This window comes from Homo sapiens, chromosome 7 (genome assembly GCF_000001405.40).
Source record: "Homo sapiens chromosome 7, GRCh38.p14 Primary Assembly".
In the NCBI taxonomy this organism is placed as follows: domain Eukaryota; kingdom Metazoa; phylum Chordata; class Mammalia; order Primates; family Hominidae; genus Homo; species Homo sapiens.
Window position 1 is genome coordinate 142,297,177 of NC_000007.14, and position 16,584 is coordinate 142,313,760.

A 16,584-nucleotide genomic window follows, 5' to 3' on the forward strand; every position below is an offset into this window, starting at 1 on the left:
TATTTTGACAGTGGCCATGAACCATGTAAGCTTCTGGCACAGCAGCCTAGTGAAGTCTACCCTGCTTGGCTTACATTGTTTCGGAGCTGGGTAGACAGTTGGGGAAAATTATTTCAGCCTCTCCCCACAACCAGATTTCAAGATTGAGGCAATAAGAAGGTCAGTAGATGAAATGATTTAGGCACCTAAAACCCTTTAACCCTCCTAAAGCATACCCTGTAAAACTTTCCAAATTAGATGTTATCTCTAAACATGTCAAACATGTCTTTCTTTTTTTAAGATGGAGTCTCAGTCTGTCATCCAGGATGGAGTGCAGTGGCACAATCTTGGCTCACTGCAACCTCTGCCTCCCGAGTTCAAGCGATTCTCCTGCCTCTGCCTCCTGAGTAGCTGGGACTTCAGGTGCACGCCACCACCCCTGGCTAATTTTTTTGTATTTTTAGTAGAGATGAGGTTTCACCATATTGGCTAGGCTGGTCTGAAACTCCTGACCTCGTGATCCGCCCACCTCGGCCTCCCAGAGTGCTAGGATTACAGGCGTGAGCCACCATGCCCAGCCCACGTCAAACATGTCTTATAGCTCCTGTAATCCCTGAAGCACTTTGAGAATGTGAATATTATTCACAAAAGCTGTTTGAACAAATTAAAATGGCCCATGTGCCCATGAGAGTTGGTTTTATTCACTGTTATATTCCTGGTCCTCAAACAGTGCCTGACATATAGTTATGTGTTCCATAAATACCTATTGGATAATATTATTTTGATATCTTAAGTGTGTATATGGAGGTTGTTGGAGGCATTTCACCAGTAGGTGGTAGTTAGAGTTGCTAAACCTTTACTTCGGCGTTTCAAATGCCTTCTTGTTTTGTGCATTCCCCTGCGGAATCCCTTTGTATTCTATTCTCTCAATGCTGTATCAGGAGGACTGAGGGCAGATGGCTGACATGAGGGCAATGTGCCTCTTTCACCTCCAGGAGGAGCTACGACTTTAGTGAAATTCCTGAGTCATGTGGAGGGAGAAGAGAGGCAGGAGGGAGGAAAGGACTAACGAAGGAATCAAATGCTCTGGTATCAGGGTTTGCTCCTTGTTGTAGTTGAGAGACCATGTGTGGACAACTTGAAGACACTAAAGTCCATTCCACCTGGACCTGCATCTCTGCAGTCCCTCTGCTCATGCCCTTAGGGCCTCCTGTTATTCTAGTCTGTGTTCAGGTCCTGCATCCTAAGTAGGTGAGATGCTCCCTGGGGGTAGGGGTCGCAGATTATTTCTCTCATGTCCCCTCGAGCACCCACTGAAAGGTGCTTCCTCCCTAGTTGGCATTACCTTACTGGGTCTTAAAATGATGCACAGCTGGCTCCAGGGAAGGGCTCCACTGAGCTAGGTGAGGTGTCCTCCTGGAATTCACTGAGATGAGGGAGGGGAGCTGGAGTGTGCTCATCCTGGGTCCAAGACAGGCATCGGGAAGGCATCTGCCCAAAGGGAAGGGGTCTGTGTGTTAGGGAGGAGGGGAGCCATAAGTAGAAAGAGGAAGGGGAGACCCATTCATTCGTTGTGGGAAGGGCAGGCAGCTGCTAAGAAAAAAGCAACTGTCTAAAGAACCCGCCCTGCACACCTGGCCCTGAGAAGCTAGTCTAAACCCACCTCTTGAGGTGCCAGTGCCAAGCTTGGAAAGGAAAGAGGAAGTGTGAGCTGTAGACACTAATAGTGACACCAACAGGAGCAGAGACTTCCCAAGCAGCCCCTGTCTCAGGGCCAGGGAAGCACACCCAGACGACAAGGACACAGAGCAGGGAGACACAGGGTCCCCCTGCCTGTGCCCCGGGTGACCCTGCCATGGGCTGAAGTCTCCACTGTGGTGTGGTCCATTGTCTCAGGTGAGTCCTGGGCACAGGTGGGACATTTCTGTCCTTAAATTTTTTGCTTTTTTCATGGAACTGCTTCAGAAGATTCTGTCCTAGGCTTAGTCTGAATTTGGCTTCTTATTTTCATAGGCTCCATGGATACTGGAATTACCCAGACACCAAAATACCTGGTCACAGCAATGGGGAGTAAAAGGACAATGAAACGTGAGCATCTGGGACATGATTCTATGTATTGGTACAGACAGAAAGCTAAGAAATCCCTGGAGTTCATGTTTTACTACAACTGTAAGGAATTCATTGAAAACAAGACTGTGCCAAATCACTTCACACCTGAATGCCCTGACAGCTCTCGCTTATACCTTCATGTGGTCGCACTGCAGCAAGAAGACTCAGCTGCGTATCTCTGCACCAGCAGCCAAGACACAGCCCTGCAGAGTCACCGCCTCCCTGTGCACAAACCTCCTGGATCTAATCAGAAAACCGTGGGGGCAACGCATCCAGCTGAGCCTCAGCACTCGGTTCAGCATTCTGTAAGACCTCAGCAGACATCTCAGATCATAATACTGTCATTTATTGGATGTGGCAATGCTAAATTGCCCAGACTCCTGCAGCCTGTGGCCTGAGTTTGTCTTGAATGAGACTGTGCCTGAACTTGAATGTAGGACAGATGCCGTCAAGTTTAAGTTTTTCCAAGTATCTTTCAGTCGGTTTGTGCCTCTGGGAAATGTTGTGTGAGGTATTTAACACTCTGGCCTCACCAATCCACCTTCCAATATGGACTGTTTTTTGACTTTTCTTTTGACTCAAGTTAGACCCTGGATCTCAGCCCTCATCCCAGCTCCAAATATGTATGGTCAGACCTTTTCTTTTCTTTTCCTTTCTTTTTTTTTTTTTTCTTTTCTTTCCCTCCCTTCCTCCCTCCCTCCCTCCTTTCTTTCTCTCTCTCTCTCTCTCTTTCTTTCTTTCTTTCTTTCTTTCTTTGTTTCTTTGTTTCTTTCTTTCCTTCTTTCTTTTTTGAGACAGAGTCTCACTGTCTGGAGTGCAGTGGCGCGATCTTGGCTCACTTCCACCTCCATCTTCCAGATTCAAGCGATTCTCCTGCCTCAGCCTCCCGGGTAGCTGGAACTACAGGCGCCCAGCACCACGACTGGCTAATTTTTGTATTTTTAGTAGAGACAGGGTTTCACCATGTTGGCCAGGATGGTCTCAATCTCTTAACTTCTTGATTTGCCCCCCTCGGGCTCCCAAAGTGCTGGGATTACAGGCGTGAGCCACCGCGCCCGGCAGGTCCTTTTCTTTTTCTTTCTTTCTTTTTTTTTTGAAAAACTAAAGAATACCCAATCCCCTCCTCAGGTGGCTCTATCACTGCCTCACCCTGAGGACAGTATTTCCCCATGGGGTTTGGATCACTGTTCTCTAGTTCCCTCTCCCTGGGGCATGTGCAGAGTTTCAACTTCTTGTTGGCTGCTCTCTTCCACTCAGGATTTAAAACATTCACACTTGATTCTTTTTCCTTCTATCTCTGTAATCCTAATACCAAGTTTTCTTGGCATTCATTATCAGCCGTGGAATCTGTTGTACCTGAATTGTTACTCACAGCAGGTAATAAGAGAACAAGACCTCCTGGAATTTCTGAGCCAGACTTTGTACTCAGGGTTACCTTGCTGACCCCCATATTTTCCAGCATTGCTCTTATTAATTAATGGCCCTCAGTCCTGCACACACCATCAGATCCCAGGGGCTGAGCACAGCCCTGCATTGTCAGGTTCTGCAACAACACAAAGGCTCCCTCCTCTCTCCTATAGAGGGCGCTCCAGGGATGGTGGGTGTTGCCAGAGACACCAGTAATTCTGCCAGACCTTGCCTGTGGGGCCATGGGAGCTCAAAATGCCCCTCCTTTCCTCCACAGGACCAGATGCCTGAGCTAGGAAAGGCCTCATTCCTGCTGTGATCCTGCCATGGATACCTGGCTCGTATGCTGGGCAATTTTTAGTCTCTTGAAAGCAGGTCGATGCTTAGACTCTAGGAAATTCTTGCTTTGAACTTACCTAAGACAATTCTAAACCATTCTCTTAATCTTCTTCTTTTCTCACAGGACTCACAGAACCTGAAGTCACCCAGACTCCCAGCCATCAGGTCACACAGATGGGACAGGAAGTGATCTTGCGCTGTGTCCCCATCTCTAATCACTTATACTTCTATTGGTACAGACAAATCTTGGGGCAGAAAGTCGAGTTTCTGGTTTCCTTTTATAATAATGAAATCTCAGAGAAGTCTGAAATATTCGATGATCAATTCTCAGTTGAAAGGCCTGATGGATCAAATTTCACTCTGAAGATCCGGTCCACAAAGCTGGAGGACTCAGCCATGTACTTCTGTGCCAGCAGTGAAGCCACAGCCTTGCAAAGACAACTCCAGCCTGTGCAAAATCCCTCACAGAGCTGCCTCCCTCCCAGCCGCCAGCTCCCACTTCCTGCCTAAGAAAAGGAAGTCTCTGGTTGGGTTTGTTCTTGCAGCTGTCTCCAAATAGACAGATATCTGAAATTAAATTACCAAAGGTATCTTGGGCAGAAATGACCAGACACTGTAGGATTTGAAGAATGTTTACAGATACTACAGAGTGTGAGTGTGATGGTGGGCTCTGAATATGAGAGAATTGTACACAACCAAGTAACTTATATCTTCTCCTCATTCCCATTTGGCCATCTTTATTAGAATTGTTTTGTTTTAGTTGCTTAGGAAAACATATTTTAACTTCTAGGGTGGCGAGATGATTCCTGAGTGGGAGTTCAGGTATTTCCATGAGAATATAGAGGGTGCTCACAGAAATCTTCAGAAGAAGGGGCTTGGTACAAAGAACTCAATTATCAATGACTCTTGCTCAGCATGTGGTCAAGAGCAGAACTATCTGATGACCCTGTGAACCTGGTGTGATGCATTTGGGCTAATGATGCTAGCTCACAAAATAACAAGTTAAGAGAGTAGAAAACATGGAGTCTAATATTTCACACCATTTCAAGGTCAACAGAGTTCTAGACCAGCATGAGAATCGCCAGAATAAAGCAAGGCAGTGCAGGAACAGAATTCAGCAGCAAAAGTCAAGAGACACCTAGAGGCAGAGGCAGGAATGAATTTGTCACTTTCAACTTAACCTGAAGCAGCCAGATTAACTTCTTGAGTTTCATTTAAGAAATTATTCCTCTTTTAAACATACCTATTGAAGTCTAAATTTTAGGTATTTTATATATTTCAGTTCTGGAATTTCCATTTAAATCTTGCTACAATTTCCAGTTGTTTGCTAAAATTGCATATTTTGTCATTTACTTTGTTGACTATATTAACATCTGTCATTTTAAAGCCACTTTTTGATAACTTTAACATCTGAATCTGTTTGGGTCTATTTCTTTTGTCTGTTTTCTCTGTTCAGTTTCTGGGCACGTGATTTTGTTTTCTCATACAACTAGTAATTTACTTGAATGCCGGATATTGTATATAAAAACTATAGAGATAATTTGAGGCTCTGAATGATTTCATCTTCCTCAAATGATTCACTTTTGCTTCTGCTGGGATTGTAGCAGGGGCGGATCACCTTAATTGAGCTGATGAATGAGCTGGATCAGACCTGAGCTTCAGCCTGCATGATGGCTGCTCGCCTTTGCTCTTAGCCATGTAAGTTCCAACTAGATGTCTGAAGTTTAACAGCTAAATCAAATTGTAAATTACATAACATAATATTTGCCCATTGCAAGCATGCAATTCAATGAATTTTGATAAATTTGTGGAGTTGTGCAACAATCACCATGATCCAGCTCTAAAACATTTCATCTTTCCCCACCCGGAAAGTTCCTTCATGCTCATTTTCAGTCAATCCCTGCTTCTACCCCCAGCACCAAGGACTGGGGTCTTTGCCAGGCTCCTCTCCTATTCAGTAGTCACTGAACGTAAATGTTCTCCAGACCAGAAAGGTGGTGGATGCTCCTCAAAGCCTGCTACACTCTCAGTCTTCCCTTTTCTTCTCAGCTACTTAGCCAACGATATAAAACTGGCAAATGACTTAAGGCGAAAGTGGTCTGTTAGATCTCTCCTTTCTCGTTGAGATCCCAATCCCTTAAGTTCTTACTGCCTCAGTAGCTCCAAGTGCCTTCAAACGTTTATTTTTATATTTTGTTAAGTTTTTCTAGTTGTTTTTGGTGGGAGTGTTGTTCTGCAAAAAATCAGTCTATTAACTCTGAAAGCCAGTTTCTATATTTATTAAAGGTGAGGTGCAATGTTTTATGTTTTTATTTTAGGTAGAAGTATCTTGAAGAAAGGAAGGAGTGAACCTCTCTGCCTTCCCTTTTTTTTTTTCTTTTTGAGACAGATTCTCACTCTGTCACCCAGGCTGGAGTGCAGTGGGGCGATCTCAGCTCACTGTAACCTCTGCCTCCGGGGTTCAAGCGATTCTCCTGCCTCAGCCTCCGGAGTAGCTGGGATTACAGGCGTGCACCACCACACCCAGCTAATTTTTGTATTTTTAGTAGAGATGGGGTTTCACCATGTTGGCCAGGATAGTCTTGGCCTCTTGACCTCATGATTCGCCCGCCTCGGCCTCCCAAAGTGTTGGGATTACAGGCATGAGCCTCCATTCCCGGCCAGATTATCTCTATTTCTAAGAGTTCTATTACCCTTCTGCCTTTGGTCCACCATGGGACAGAGTCTTGACACGTTTGACCTTTTACCACAAGGAGGAGCTGTGACTCTACTGAGATTAAGGGAACTCAGAGGAAGGGCAGAGCATTCTCAGGATGGGAGACAGTTAAAAGAAATATTGGGTTTATTTACAACAGGGGAAAATGTGGTCTGCAGAAGCTGTGTTAATGCTGAAATGTGAGAGGATAAATATAGACTATTCATTTGCCTTGCTGTGCAGGTGCTTTTGATCTAGCAAAGAGCCTAGACTGCCAGATTTGTTGCATGTGAACCTGCATGGGATGAGAAAGGGAGAGAATTTGAGCTGGGAAAGAGCAGAGCTCACAAGCAGATGCCAGTGGAGGAACTCTTCCTGAGAGGAATAAGAGAGGCTCTGGATGCTGGGCCTCTTCTCCAGTTCAATCCTGCCATGAAATGACTTCCTGGAACCTGGGCAGTGAGCCTGACAAATCAGGGCTTCCTTGAGGGATCTTGCAAAGAGAGTAATTACCAAGGGAAATCTACCTATCAGACCAAAGAATACCTGGAGCACCATTCTCCTGACTCTAAATGATGAAAAACCTAAGCTAGAAAGGGTTTTTTTTTTTCTTTTTCCTCTTCTGAATGTTCCTCTAAGTTCTTGGAGTGAGGGCTTCTTCGAAGGATAGGAAACCTGTCTCCTGGGTCTGAGCTAATGGTTCTATCAAAACAGCCTCACCAGACTCCCTTCCAGCTTCCAGCTTCAATATCTATCCCTGTCTACCAAGACCCATGGAAGCTAGACTTGTCCAGATATCAAAAGATGATGCCAAACACCTGGAGATGGGAAAGAAGGTGGCGTGGACAGACCTCCAGGATGCACATCTGAAACAGGCTCTTCATTTTGTTTTGACTACAGCCTCCTGTTTCGCCTTTTCAAAAAGCATTTGGAATTTCCCTTACTTCTTGGAAATCCAAAAATACAGCAAAGATACATTTTCTATAGGCTCTAGTTATTCAGTAGGAGGGAGCTTCAGAATATCTCTATACTCTACTATGCATATTCTAGCATGCTGCCCGGAAGTGAAAGTCTAGCCAAACAGTTTAACAGGAAAACCGTTAGCTGTCCTGTGGAGGTTAATTTTGCAGTTTATTTTGGAATGGAACAAAAGAAGGTATTGAAGATAGGAATCTCATTTCTATATGCTAGAATCTAAATTTCTTAACTTTCTGTAGTATGGGCCATTTTCAAATCAGCTAAAGTCCTAAAACCAGACTATGGGAAACACACACTTCTAAGCTCAATATTAAATATCTAAAGTGACTAACTAACGTAGGGTTGGAGAGGCAGGGTCCCCCTGGACTTTTCAAACTCCTACCCTCACAAAAAATCTAGAACTTCTTCTCAGTAACAAAAATAAGATGACGTATAATCATTTTTCATTGTTAATAAATAATCTCTATCCATCATGGCATTGCATTGAATTTGTGTTAATTGTTGCTAAAAAATGACTGTGGGTTAAACATTTGTGATTCATATAATAATAGAAATAATAAATGTAAATGTTTTAAGTGAACAAGCGAGATTTTAATAGCTCAACAGGCAAATAGCATGAACTGATGCTCTGCAAAGGTGAGGGACACCTGGCCTGAGACAGGATGTCTTATCTGATTTTGGTCTGAATTTCATTTGGAAAACTGGCAGCTGCTGGTCAACCTGCAGGGATATGATCCCATGAGCTGATATGCAATGTTGACTTTTGTATTTTTGTCAGCATGAAATAATTTTTTTTTTTTTAAATCAGGGTCAGAGTCTCGAGTAACTAGCAGCCAGCTGATAGAATGGAAGTGAAACCATGGCCCTCGTCCCCTTGCAAACCTGGAAACCCAGTGTTGAGCATGTGTGAAGAGAGAAACAGAATCAGGTGAAATGAAATCTTCCTAAGACCCTGCTCAGGAAACTAAATTTGACGTAATTGGACACAAGAAGTTGTTCATCCATTCTATTCCGCCAGAGGAGACAGGACAGATTTCCCGTGCGTTCTTGGGAAGCTGGAAGAGGGAGACAGCTCTGCCAGGTGGAGTGATATTCTCATGAGAAGTGAAAAAGAAGAGGCAGAGATGGAGAGTTTGGTTCTAGAAGGGTGGAAGGTTTTGCTTATAAACATATCAACACACTTGCTTTTCCCGCCAAGATGCAAACTTTGGGGAATTGCTCAAATATAAGATGGGGTTTAAATATTGGACAGCCAAAAATATGACCCATGTTCAAAATATGCATCCTGGTATCATTCAGTTCGACGTGTTCTAGTTCTTCTGCAGCTTTCTGTCTCATTCCTTTTGCCCCTACAACTCTCCACCTTTTTGTGGATTAAGTTATCTCCATGATAAAATTATTATGTTGTCTTCCCTCTTTGACTTTCTTGTCGGCAGCCTGGCTCTTCCCAGGGATCCCAGCGTCTATCCTCTCTCCTTTCTGTAGCTTTTTTCCGCTTCTCCAGTATGGCGGGCCCTGTCAGAAAATACGTACATAATCAATTTATTTGTCCTTCTTATCCTTTGGACAATTCTTTTGTTTGTTTGTTTGTTTGTTTTTGGTTGAGACCAAGTCTCGCTCTGTAGTCCAGGCTGGAGTGCAGAGGCAGGATCTCGGCTCACTGCAAGCTCCGCCTCCCGGCTTCAGGCCTGCCTCCGCCTTCCTAGTAGCTGGGACTACAGGCGCCCGCTCCACGCCCAGCTAATTTTTTTTTTTTTTGTATTTTTAGTAGAGACGGGTTTCCCCGTTTTAGCCAGGATGGTCTCGATCTCCTGACCTCGTGATCCGCCCACCTTGGCCTCCCAAAGTGTTGGGTTTACAGGCGTGAGCCACTGCACCCGGTCTAGACAATTCTTGATGGACAATCAAACACTTTTGCTTTTCATATCTCCTGTAAAACACAAAACAAAACAACAACCAGAACTAACATTGCCTCATATGAGGCGAGTTTCTTTCTATCAGTTTCATTCCAGTGCCTCTCCCAGACGCTGTCCGTCTGATTTGGTAAAAAGTCTTGCGTAAAATAGTGAAATACATATTTATTTAAAGTCTACTCTTTAAGAATGGTTACATCTTTACATAGTTATGATCATCACCATTGAATGTAGCCTCTTGTCATTTCACTATCTTCCCTCCCCACCCGTTCCTTCTTTGAAAAGGTTCCCATGTCAGCTGTGTGGTGCAATGTGGTAGGTACTGAATAAGACCCACAACTACGGGGGTACCTGGTTATGTTCACAGAATTGTAGAGCTAGACAGAGTGTTGAAAATTATTTATTTCTGCCCATTGTTTCATAGATCAGGAAATGGGATGCTTTAAAAAAAGTATTTAAATGTAAATAGTAACTATTTTGCTGGCCTCCATGTAATATGTATTTCATATTCTTAGTCTACAAGTAATGTGTGAATGTGTTTTTGCTCCTATTGGATTATAAGCATCATGAGAGTGAGAATATTGTTTACTCATGCTTTGCACTAAGTAGCCATTCAGTGACTATAAACAAATAAAGCATGCTTGAAGTTCCAAGAAGGATGGTGGTCATTTTTCTTTTGTTTAGTTCAAGTTCTGTGTTTAGTAAATCACAAATGAACCATCAAGGTCTGTCTTTGCAGGGGATTCACCAGTAGATGACAACACTACCAAAGTGTGTGTGTGTGTGTGTGTGTGTGTGTGTGTGATACCTTTCTGGCAGTGCTGGTCTCTGCTTTTCCTCCTGGAGGTTCCTGCCCTGGGGCCATTGACTGAGGCACTGAGGTCTGAGTGCTGGACCTTGCTGACCAGAGCAGGAGGAGCTGCAGCCCTGCCACACCCCCGAGGTTGGGTGGTTGATGGCTGGCAGAGGAGAGGAGTACCATGGGCAAGAATAAAGGGGACTGTGGTCCTCAACATTAGATAATTCACAAAACGCGAAGGCATTTTCTGTCGTCACATTGCCATCAGGTGGGTAGGGCCCAAGGATGCCGCCAAGCATCCTCCCTACACAGGACAGCTCCCCACAACAAACAATCACCTGATCCAACATGGCAGTAGTGCTGAAATTGAGAAACCCCGCAATAAGCTTCGGTTGTAAACTTTGTACCAAGAAGGAGAATTCTCTGCAGACAACTCAAGGGGCAATACCGTCAACTACTTTTGTTTTCTCTGACTGCCGCGTTGTTGACCTTCATCGCCATTCTTTCCCAGCACATGGTGTCTGCATATTTTCCAGCAGCCTCCTGTTTCCTCATAAATCTGCCCCTTGGACAGATAAGAACATCACAGGGAGCAGGGCTGCAGTTCACTCCCAATAATAACGCCTCAGCAGGGTTTGCTCTGCAGTAGCATCACAGTCATGTGGAGTAGGTGGCTATGGCTGGTATTCAGGTGAAATCTCAGGCCAATCTCTCCTGAATCAAGGGGACCACTGATCATTAATGAGACCTTCAAGTGAGCAAAGATTCAAGAGAGCAAATTAATGTCCTGCGCTATTGTGAAGGGACGCAAAGGATCCAGAGAGGAAACCAGCTGACTCTGAGAGAAGGGCCTGAAAAGGAGAGGAAGGGAGGAGGTGGTCAGATCCCCGGGAAGGAGCAGGGAGGGAGGGGGCTGCTGGCCCAGGAATGACTGTCAGAGACACATCCTGGAGGTCACAATTCCACCCTCTCAATTATTCCCAGAAATTCCAAAAACTCCTTTAAAGGAGCAAGTGCAGGGCATGAAAGGGAGGAGCCATGCTAGAGGAGACCCTGGGAATGGGGGAATGATTACAGGCTGTGACCTCACTGGCGCAGCACCTCTCAGCGGCAGTGGAAACCACAGCCTAGTCCTCTCACCACTGCAGACCAGAATCCTGCCCTGGGCCTTGCCTGGTCTGCCTCACTCTGCCATGGGCTGCAGGCTCCTCTGCTGTGTGGTCTTCTGCCTCCTCCAAGCAGGTGAGTCCCGGGCCCAGGTGACATGATCCTATTGGAGTCCCTAAGCCTTTTCACCATGACAACAACAGCAGGCCGTCTCCTAGGATTTGCCTGAATTCTGCTTCTTTCCTTTGCAGGTCCCTTGGACACAGCTGTTTCCCAGACTCCAAAATACCTGGTCACACAGATGGGAAACGACAAGTCCATTAAATGTGAACAAAATCTGGGCCATGATACTATGTATTGGTATAAACAGGACTCTAAGAAATTTCTGAAGATAATGTTTAGCTACAATAATAAGGAGCTCATTATAAATGAAACAGTTCCAAATCGCTTCTCACCTAAATCTCCAGACAAAGCTCACTTAAATCTTCACATCAATTCCCTGGAGCTTGGTGACTCTGCTGTGTATTTCTGTGCCAGCAGCCAAGACACAGCCCTGCAAAGTCACTGCATCCCTGTGCACAAACCTCCCGGCTCAGCCAGGAAGCTGCAGGGCAGCGTGTGCACCTGCACCCAGGGCTCCAGTCTCCATTCCCTGATGGCCTCTGATGGAGTTTCAGTCTGTAGTACAGCCAGCTAGTGCACCCAGTGGAGAAGTCCTCCATCTTATGCACACAAAAGTCTCACAGAATTGTTTATCAGCTAGAGCAGGGCTTCACAACAAAGCCACTAAAGTATTAGGGCTCCACAAACAAAAAAGAGCCTGTCCTATGCACTGATGATCTTAACTGATGGGGGAAGCTCTTTCTTTTCTTTCTGTGTGGCACATATTGGTACGTATTTTATATAACATTATGAAAAAAACACGATTGCTGAAAATGGTTGATGAGCACAAGCATAAAGGAGGGGGAAGGAAATATTTCCAAGATCAAGAGACAATTCTGATGATCAGTGAGTACTTTATTCAACAGAAAAATATTTGGAGAGGCATGAAATTCCATGGCAATAGGTAAACTGGAAAGTGTTGAGGAGATGCCGGTGGAGGTAGCCTTGTGCGTTGTGGGCTCCTTCTCTTCAAGAAGGGTGACCAGCAAGTGTCTCTCCCAATTCTGATGAATATCATCTTGAACTGTCCTCAAGAGCAGGCAATAGCCAGATGACTGGGGATATTGGGAGACCTGAAAGGACTTTGGACACAAATCTCTAGGCAGTGGTGAGCCATTGGTCCTACTCCAAGTGAAACAACATGATGAAACTGATATTTTGGTAGAGGAACACTGGTAGTAGTATGGATCAGAAAGGAGATAGATTTTTGGGTGGCATGAATGATTAGGAGACTTCTAAATATCCTACATGAAAGATTAGAAAGGGTTGATGTGAAGCATTGTGGACAATATAGGCTTGAGGCTCTGCATTATGTTATTTCTTGGAAATGTATTGGGTTTTATTCTGGGAGGGTTGAATGTAGGACTTGCTAGGGTCTATTTCAGCCTTGCCCTCCCTCTTAGGGAGCCCCAGCATGTGGTCATCATTGCTAGTGCATGGCCTTTCCAGGGTCTTAGTGGGAATCACAGTCACCCACCACGACTCTCCACTCTCACTGGGTCTGAATGCCATTGCCTTCCTGCCCTGGGTATCCTCTGAAATCCCTGCCCGTGTCTACAGCCTTCCAGAGTTTGTTCTCTGCTGGGCCTTCGGGAGTGCCACCCTCTGCATACACAACTTAGGACCTGGCCCAGAAAGAAAAATAAAAAATGAAAAAAGATTTTCTTACACAGGTTCTCAGGGCTCCTTGGTAGTACTCTGTGTCCTAAATCCCAGCTGTCTTGGAGTCAGTTATGTCCTCTTATCTTCAATCACATATACTACTTCTATTTTATATAAATATGTTTACTTGGCTTTTCTTCATATTTACCATTCCACTCTTCACTCTTCTTGCAATTCACATGGTCCTGAGATCATTTTCCTTCTTAGATCCATCCCTAATTCAGACCACTTGAACTCGCTGGTCACCACCCCTTGTTGTGGGAAATGCTTATGTTAGCTGTTGTCCTCAGGACAATTAAACCTTTCGCTTTCACCATTATTCAAGTTTTCAGTTTAAATTCTATTGCTTTTTTTAAATTGTCTTTGCAATTTGGTTTACTTATTGAGAGCCAAACAATGCAATAAAATTTTATTCGTTCAAATTTGTTCTACTTTGTAGAAGGGCCAAAGTGTTTTCTTGCTGAAGTAGATACCAATGGAAACAATTTTAATGGTAATAATACTAGTGTTTAAAATAAGGCTAATTTTAGGTTTTTGTCTAGTGAATAGAATATCTCCAACTGTAGCAGGATAGAGATCGATCCTATATGTAACCTGTTGAGGGGGAGAATACTCAACCCCATTAAATTCTAATCTACATGCTTTACATTTTTTGTTTGTTTGTTTTATGGGCCACATTGAAAATCTGATGAAATTTTTGCATTAGAAGAATGCTACAATTTTCCTCCTGACTGAGAACATCCCCAGGTTAAAACAAATCTAAATTATAAATCCTTGACTTAAATCATGGATAAGTATCTTCCCTCAGCCCCATGTAGATTTACATATAACATAGATTTACGACCCTAATCTCATGCCTACAATTATAATTATCATCATGAAAAGGTAACACTGATGTAATACAACAATAAATAGATGGTAAAAATCACTTTGAAAGTATGAATCATCTCATTTTTGTGTTTATTTGTGTTCATTTGTATCTCCAAATGCTCTAGAATGAAAAGCCAATATTGGCATAAAAGTACCTTTTAAGAAAATTGATGATATTCCAATTCTTAACTGGTCACAAAGCATAAATAGCTTATGCAGTGAAGTACAGAAGACCCATAGGAAGTCATCCAGCTGGTTCCTAGTTGGAAAGTTCTCCACAGAACTGATGAACTAATGTGGTTTCTAACATCTTAGAAATGGCAGGGCTTTAGAGATCATCTCATTTCAGTTCTCCTGATTTAATATATGAGGAAATATGGCATCACATATATGAAGTGATTGAACAATGACATACTGATTACATTTCTCAAACTTTATGTAAGATATATTTTTATTCTCTAGTTGTTTTCTGAATATGTTGAATTGCCTTACACAAATAGAATTCTGGGGGTGAAAATGTTGGTGATTTTCTGCTTGCTCCTAGCTGTTGCTCAAGGAGTATTTGTTGAACAAGTCAGACTGGCCCAAGAACTCAAGAGGGCTGGGATACTGTCTGTTCTGCACATTACTAGAGATCCAGGCATAGACAATTTTCTGTTCTTTTTTCTTTTCTTTATTTCATTTCATTTCATTTCTTTTCCTTTTTTTTTTTTCTTTTGAGGGGTGTGGTGGGAGCAGGGTCTTGCTCTGTCTGGAGTGCAGTGACACAATCATGGCTCACTACAGCCTTGACTTCCATGGCTCAAGCAATCCTCCCACTTCAGCCTCTTGAATAGCTGGGACTACACACAGGCACCACTACATTCCGCTAATTTTTGTAGAGATAAGGTGTTGCCATGGTGCCCAGACACAGACATAGACAATTTCTGTTGAGTAAAAATTTAGAATGTCTTATGTGTGTGGATACCTGGCGTTCTGGCTGCTGACTCTCTGTGTTGTTGCCAACACCTCCTTCGTCTTCATTCTCCCCTGGCCTTTCAAACCCTTCTCTGCTGCTCAGGGTTGTGAGATGTGGAACCCATCTGGATGCTGACACTGGGTCGGTGAGTGGCCAAATACTGTTTTGGCCACAGGCAGGAGCTGTGCTCTGGTGAAACCTCTAAGGCAGGGACCTGGGGAAGGGATAGAGAATAAGAGGAGAGATGGGCCAGGAGGGATCTTGCCCATGGGGAGCCAACCGTACCTCAACTGAGAGCATGGCTGTACTCAGCTCAAGCACACTAACATCAGCTTCAAGCTGATTTCCCTTTCCTTTGCTCCACACACCTTGTGTTGTTCTTTTTCAGCATCCTGTGTATGTTAGCTCTAAGCCCAGCCAAGCCCCATGCCCTCCACTTCAGGGACAGAGGGTGGCTCATCCCTTTTGTGCTCCCTCAGCTCCCTCCCCAGTGCCTGGTGGCTGGTTGGCAACACAGTCATGCCCTTGAATGATGGGAGCTGGTGCACACTGCATCCGTGTTCATGCAGTCACCCTCCCTCCACAGAGCCGGGCAGAAAGGGCTCCACCACACTTAGACATTGAGGGAAGGGACGTTTTGAATGGCACTGTTTTATGTGATCCCGCAGGACAGAAGGAGATTTCTTGAATGGGAGTGGTCTGTTGTTGAGAGGGATCCTGAAAGACAGGGAGACAAAGATAGAGGGAGGATCCACATAATTAGGAAGCAGCTGAGAGCAAAGGAGCCCCTGCCAGAGGAATATCCTTGGGGGGTAAAAAGCCGGCTCTGCCCTTTCTCCCCAGCCGATTCATCCTAGCCCAGCAAATTCAAATCTACCTTCTATCAGAACTTAGAAAGGATGTAAAGCAGTCAGGAAGAAACATCCCCTGGGTCTGGGGAAACTATCAGGAGCAGTGACATCACAAGAAAAACCACCAAGCAGGGCCAAGGAGACCAGAGCCCAGCACCTCGCCCAAAGGACCCCAGTCAGAGGCCCCATCTCAGACCCGAGGCTAGCATGGGCTGCAGGCTGCTCTGCTGTGCGGTTCTCTGTCTCCTGGGAGCAGGTGAGTTAGGTTGAAATTGTCTGTCCTTGGACTCCAACCCTTTTCCTTGTGGCTGCAGGAACAACCCTCTTCCTGGGCTCTGCCTGAATTTTGTCCCTTTCCTCCTACAGTTCCCATAGACACTGAAGTTACCCAGACACCAAAACACCTGGTCATGGGAATGACAAATAAGAAGTCTTTGAAATGTGAACAACATATGGGGCACAGGGCTATGTATTGGTACAAGCAGAAAGCTAAGAAGCCACCGGAGCTCATGTTTGTCTACAGCTATGAGAAACTCTCTATAAATGAAAGTGTGCCAAGTCGCTTCTCACCTGAATGCCCCAACAGCTCTCTCTTAAACCTTCACCTACACGCCCTGCAGCCAGAAGACTCAGCCCTGTATCTCTGCGCCAGCAGCCAAGACACAGCCTTGCAGAGTCACCGCTTTCCTGTGCAGAAACCTTCGGGGCCTGCCAGGAAGCCGTGGGGGCCACGGAGGGCTCGGGTGAACATTTCC

The 16,584-nt window shown here is 44.7% G+C and overlaps 1 pseudogene, 3 gene segments (V, D, J or C) and 1 further gene, besides 13 other annotated features; all 5 read left to right on the top strand.

Moving 5' to 3' along the window:
- Nucleotides 813-1,107: an enhancer, noted in NCBI's record as "tiled region #9540; K562 Activating DNase unmatched - State 12:CtcfO". NCBI's record gives its function as "activates a minimal TATA promoter and a strong SV40 promoter by Sharpr-MPRA in K562 cells {active_cell/tissue: K562}" and the evidence as "EXISTENCE:reporter gene assay evidence [ECO:0000049][PMID:27701403]".
- TRBV1 (T cell receptor beta variable 1 (pseudogene)) lies at nucleotides 1,835-2,284 on the top strand (annotated as a pseudogene). The gene is given in 2 exon segments: nucleotides 1,835-1,875; nucleotides 1,993-2,284. Coding segments are annotated over 2 exon segments (333 nt in total), but the record flags the coding sequence as incomplete, so codon positions are not given.
- The window catches only part of TRB (T cell receptor beta locus), a 514,277-nt gene continuing 499,527 nt past the window's right edge, over nucleotides 1,835-16,584 (top strand).
- Nucleotides 2,285-2,291: a recombination feature (RSS_heptamer).
- Nucleotides 2,292-2,314: a recombination feature (RSS_spacer).
- Nucleotides 2,315-2,323: a recombination feature (RSS_nonamer).
- On the top strand, nucleotides 3,822-4,256 carry TRBV2 (T cell receptor beta variable 2). The segment is given in 2 exon segments: nucleotides 3,822-3,870; nucleotides 3,959-4,256. Coding segments are annotated over 2 exon segments (347 nt in total), but the record flags the coding sequence as incomplete, so codon positions are not given.
- Nucleotides 4,257-4,263: a recombination feature (RSS_heptamer).
- Nucleotides 4,264-4,286: a recombination feature (RSS_spacer).
- Nucleotides 4,287-4,295: a recombination feature (RSS_nonamer).
- On the top strand, nucleotides 11,413-11,872 carry TRBV3-1 (T cell receptor beta variable 3-1). The segment is given in 2 exon segments: nucleotides 11,413-11,461; nucleotides 11,578-11,872. Coding segments are annotated over 2 exon segments (344 nt in total), but the record flags the coding sequence as incomplete, so codon positions are not given.
- Nucleotides 11,873-11,879: a recombination feature (RSS_heptamer).
- Nucleotides 11,880-11,902: a recombination feature (RSS_spacer).
- Nucleotides 11,903-11,911: a recombination feature (RSS_nonamer).
- Nucleotides 16,037-16,490, top strand: TRBV4-1 (T cell receptor beta variable 4-1). The segment is given in 2 exon segments: nucleotides 16,037-16,085; nucleotides 16,196-16,490. Coding segments are annotated over 2 exon segments (344 nt in total), but the record flags the coding sequence as incomplete, so codon positions are not given.
- Nucleotides 16,491-16,497: a recombination feature (RSS_heptamer).
- Nucleotides 16,498-16,520: a recombination feature (RSS_spacer).
- Nucleotides 16,521-16,529: a recombination feature (RSS_nonamer).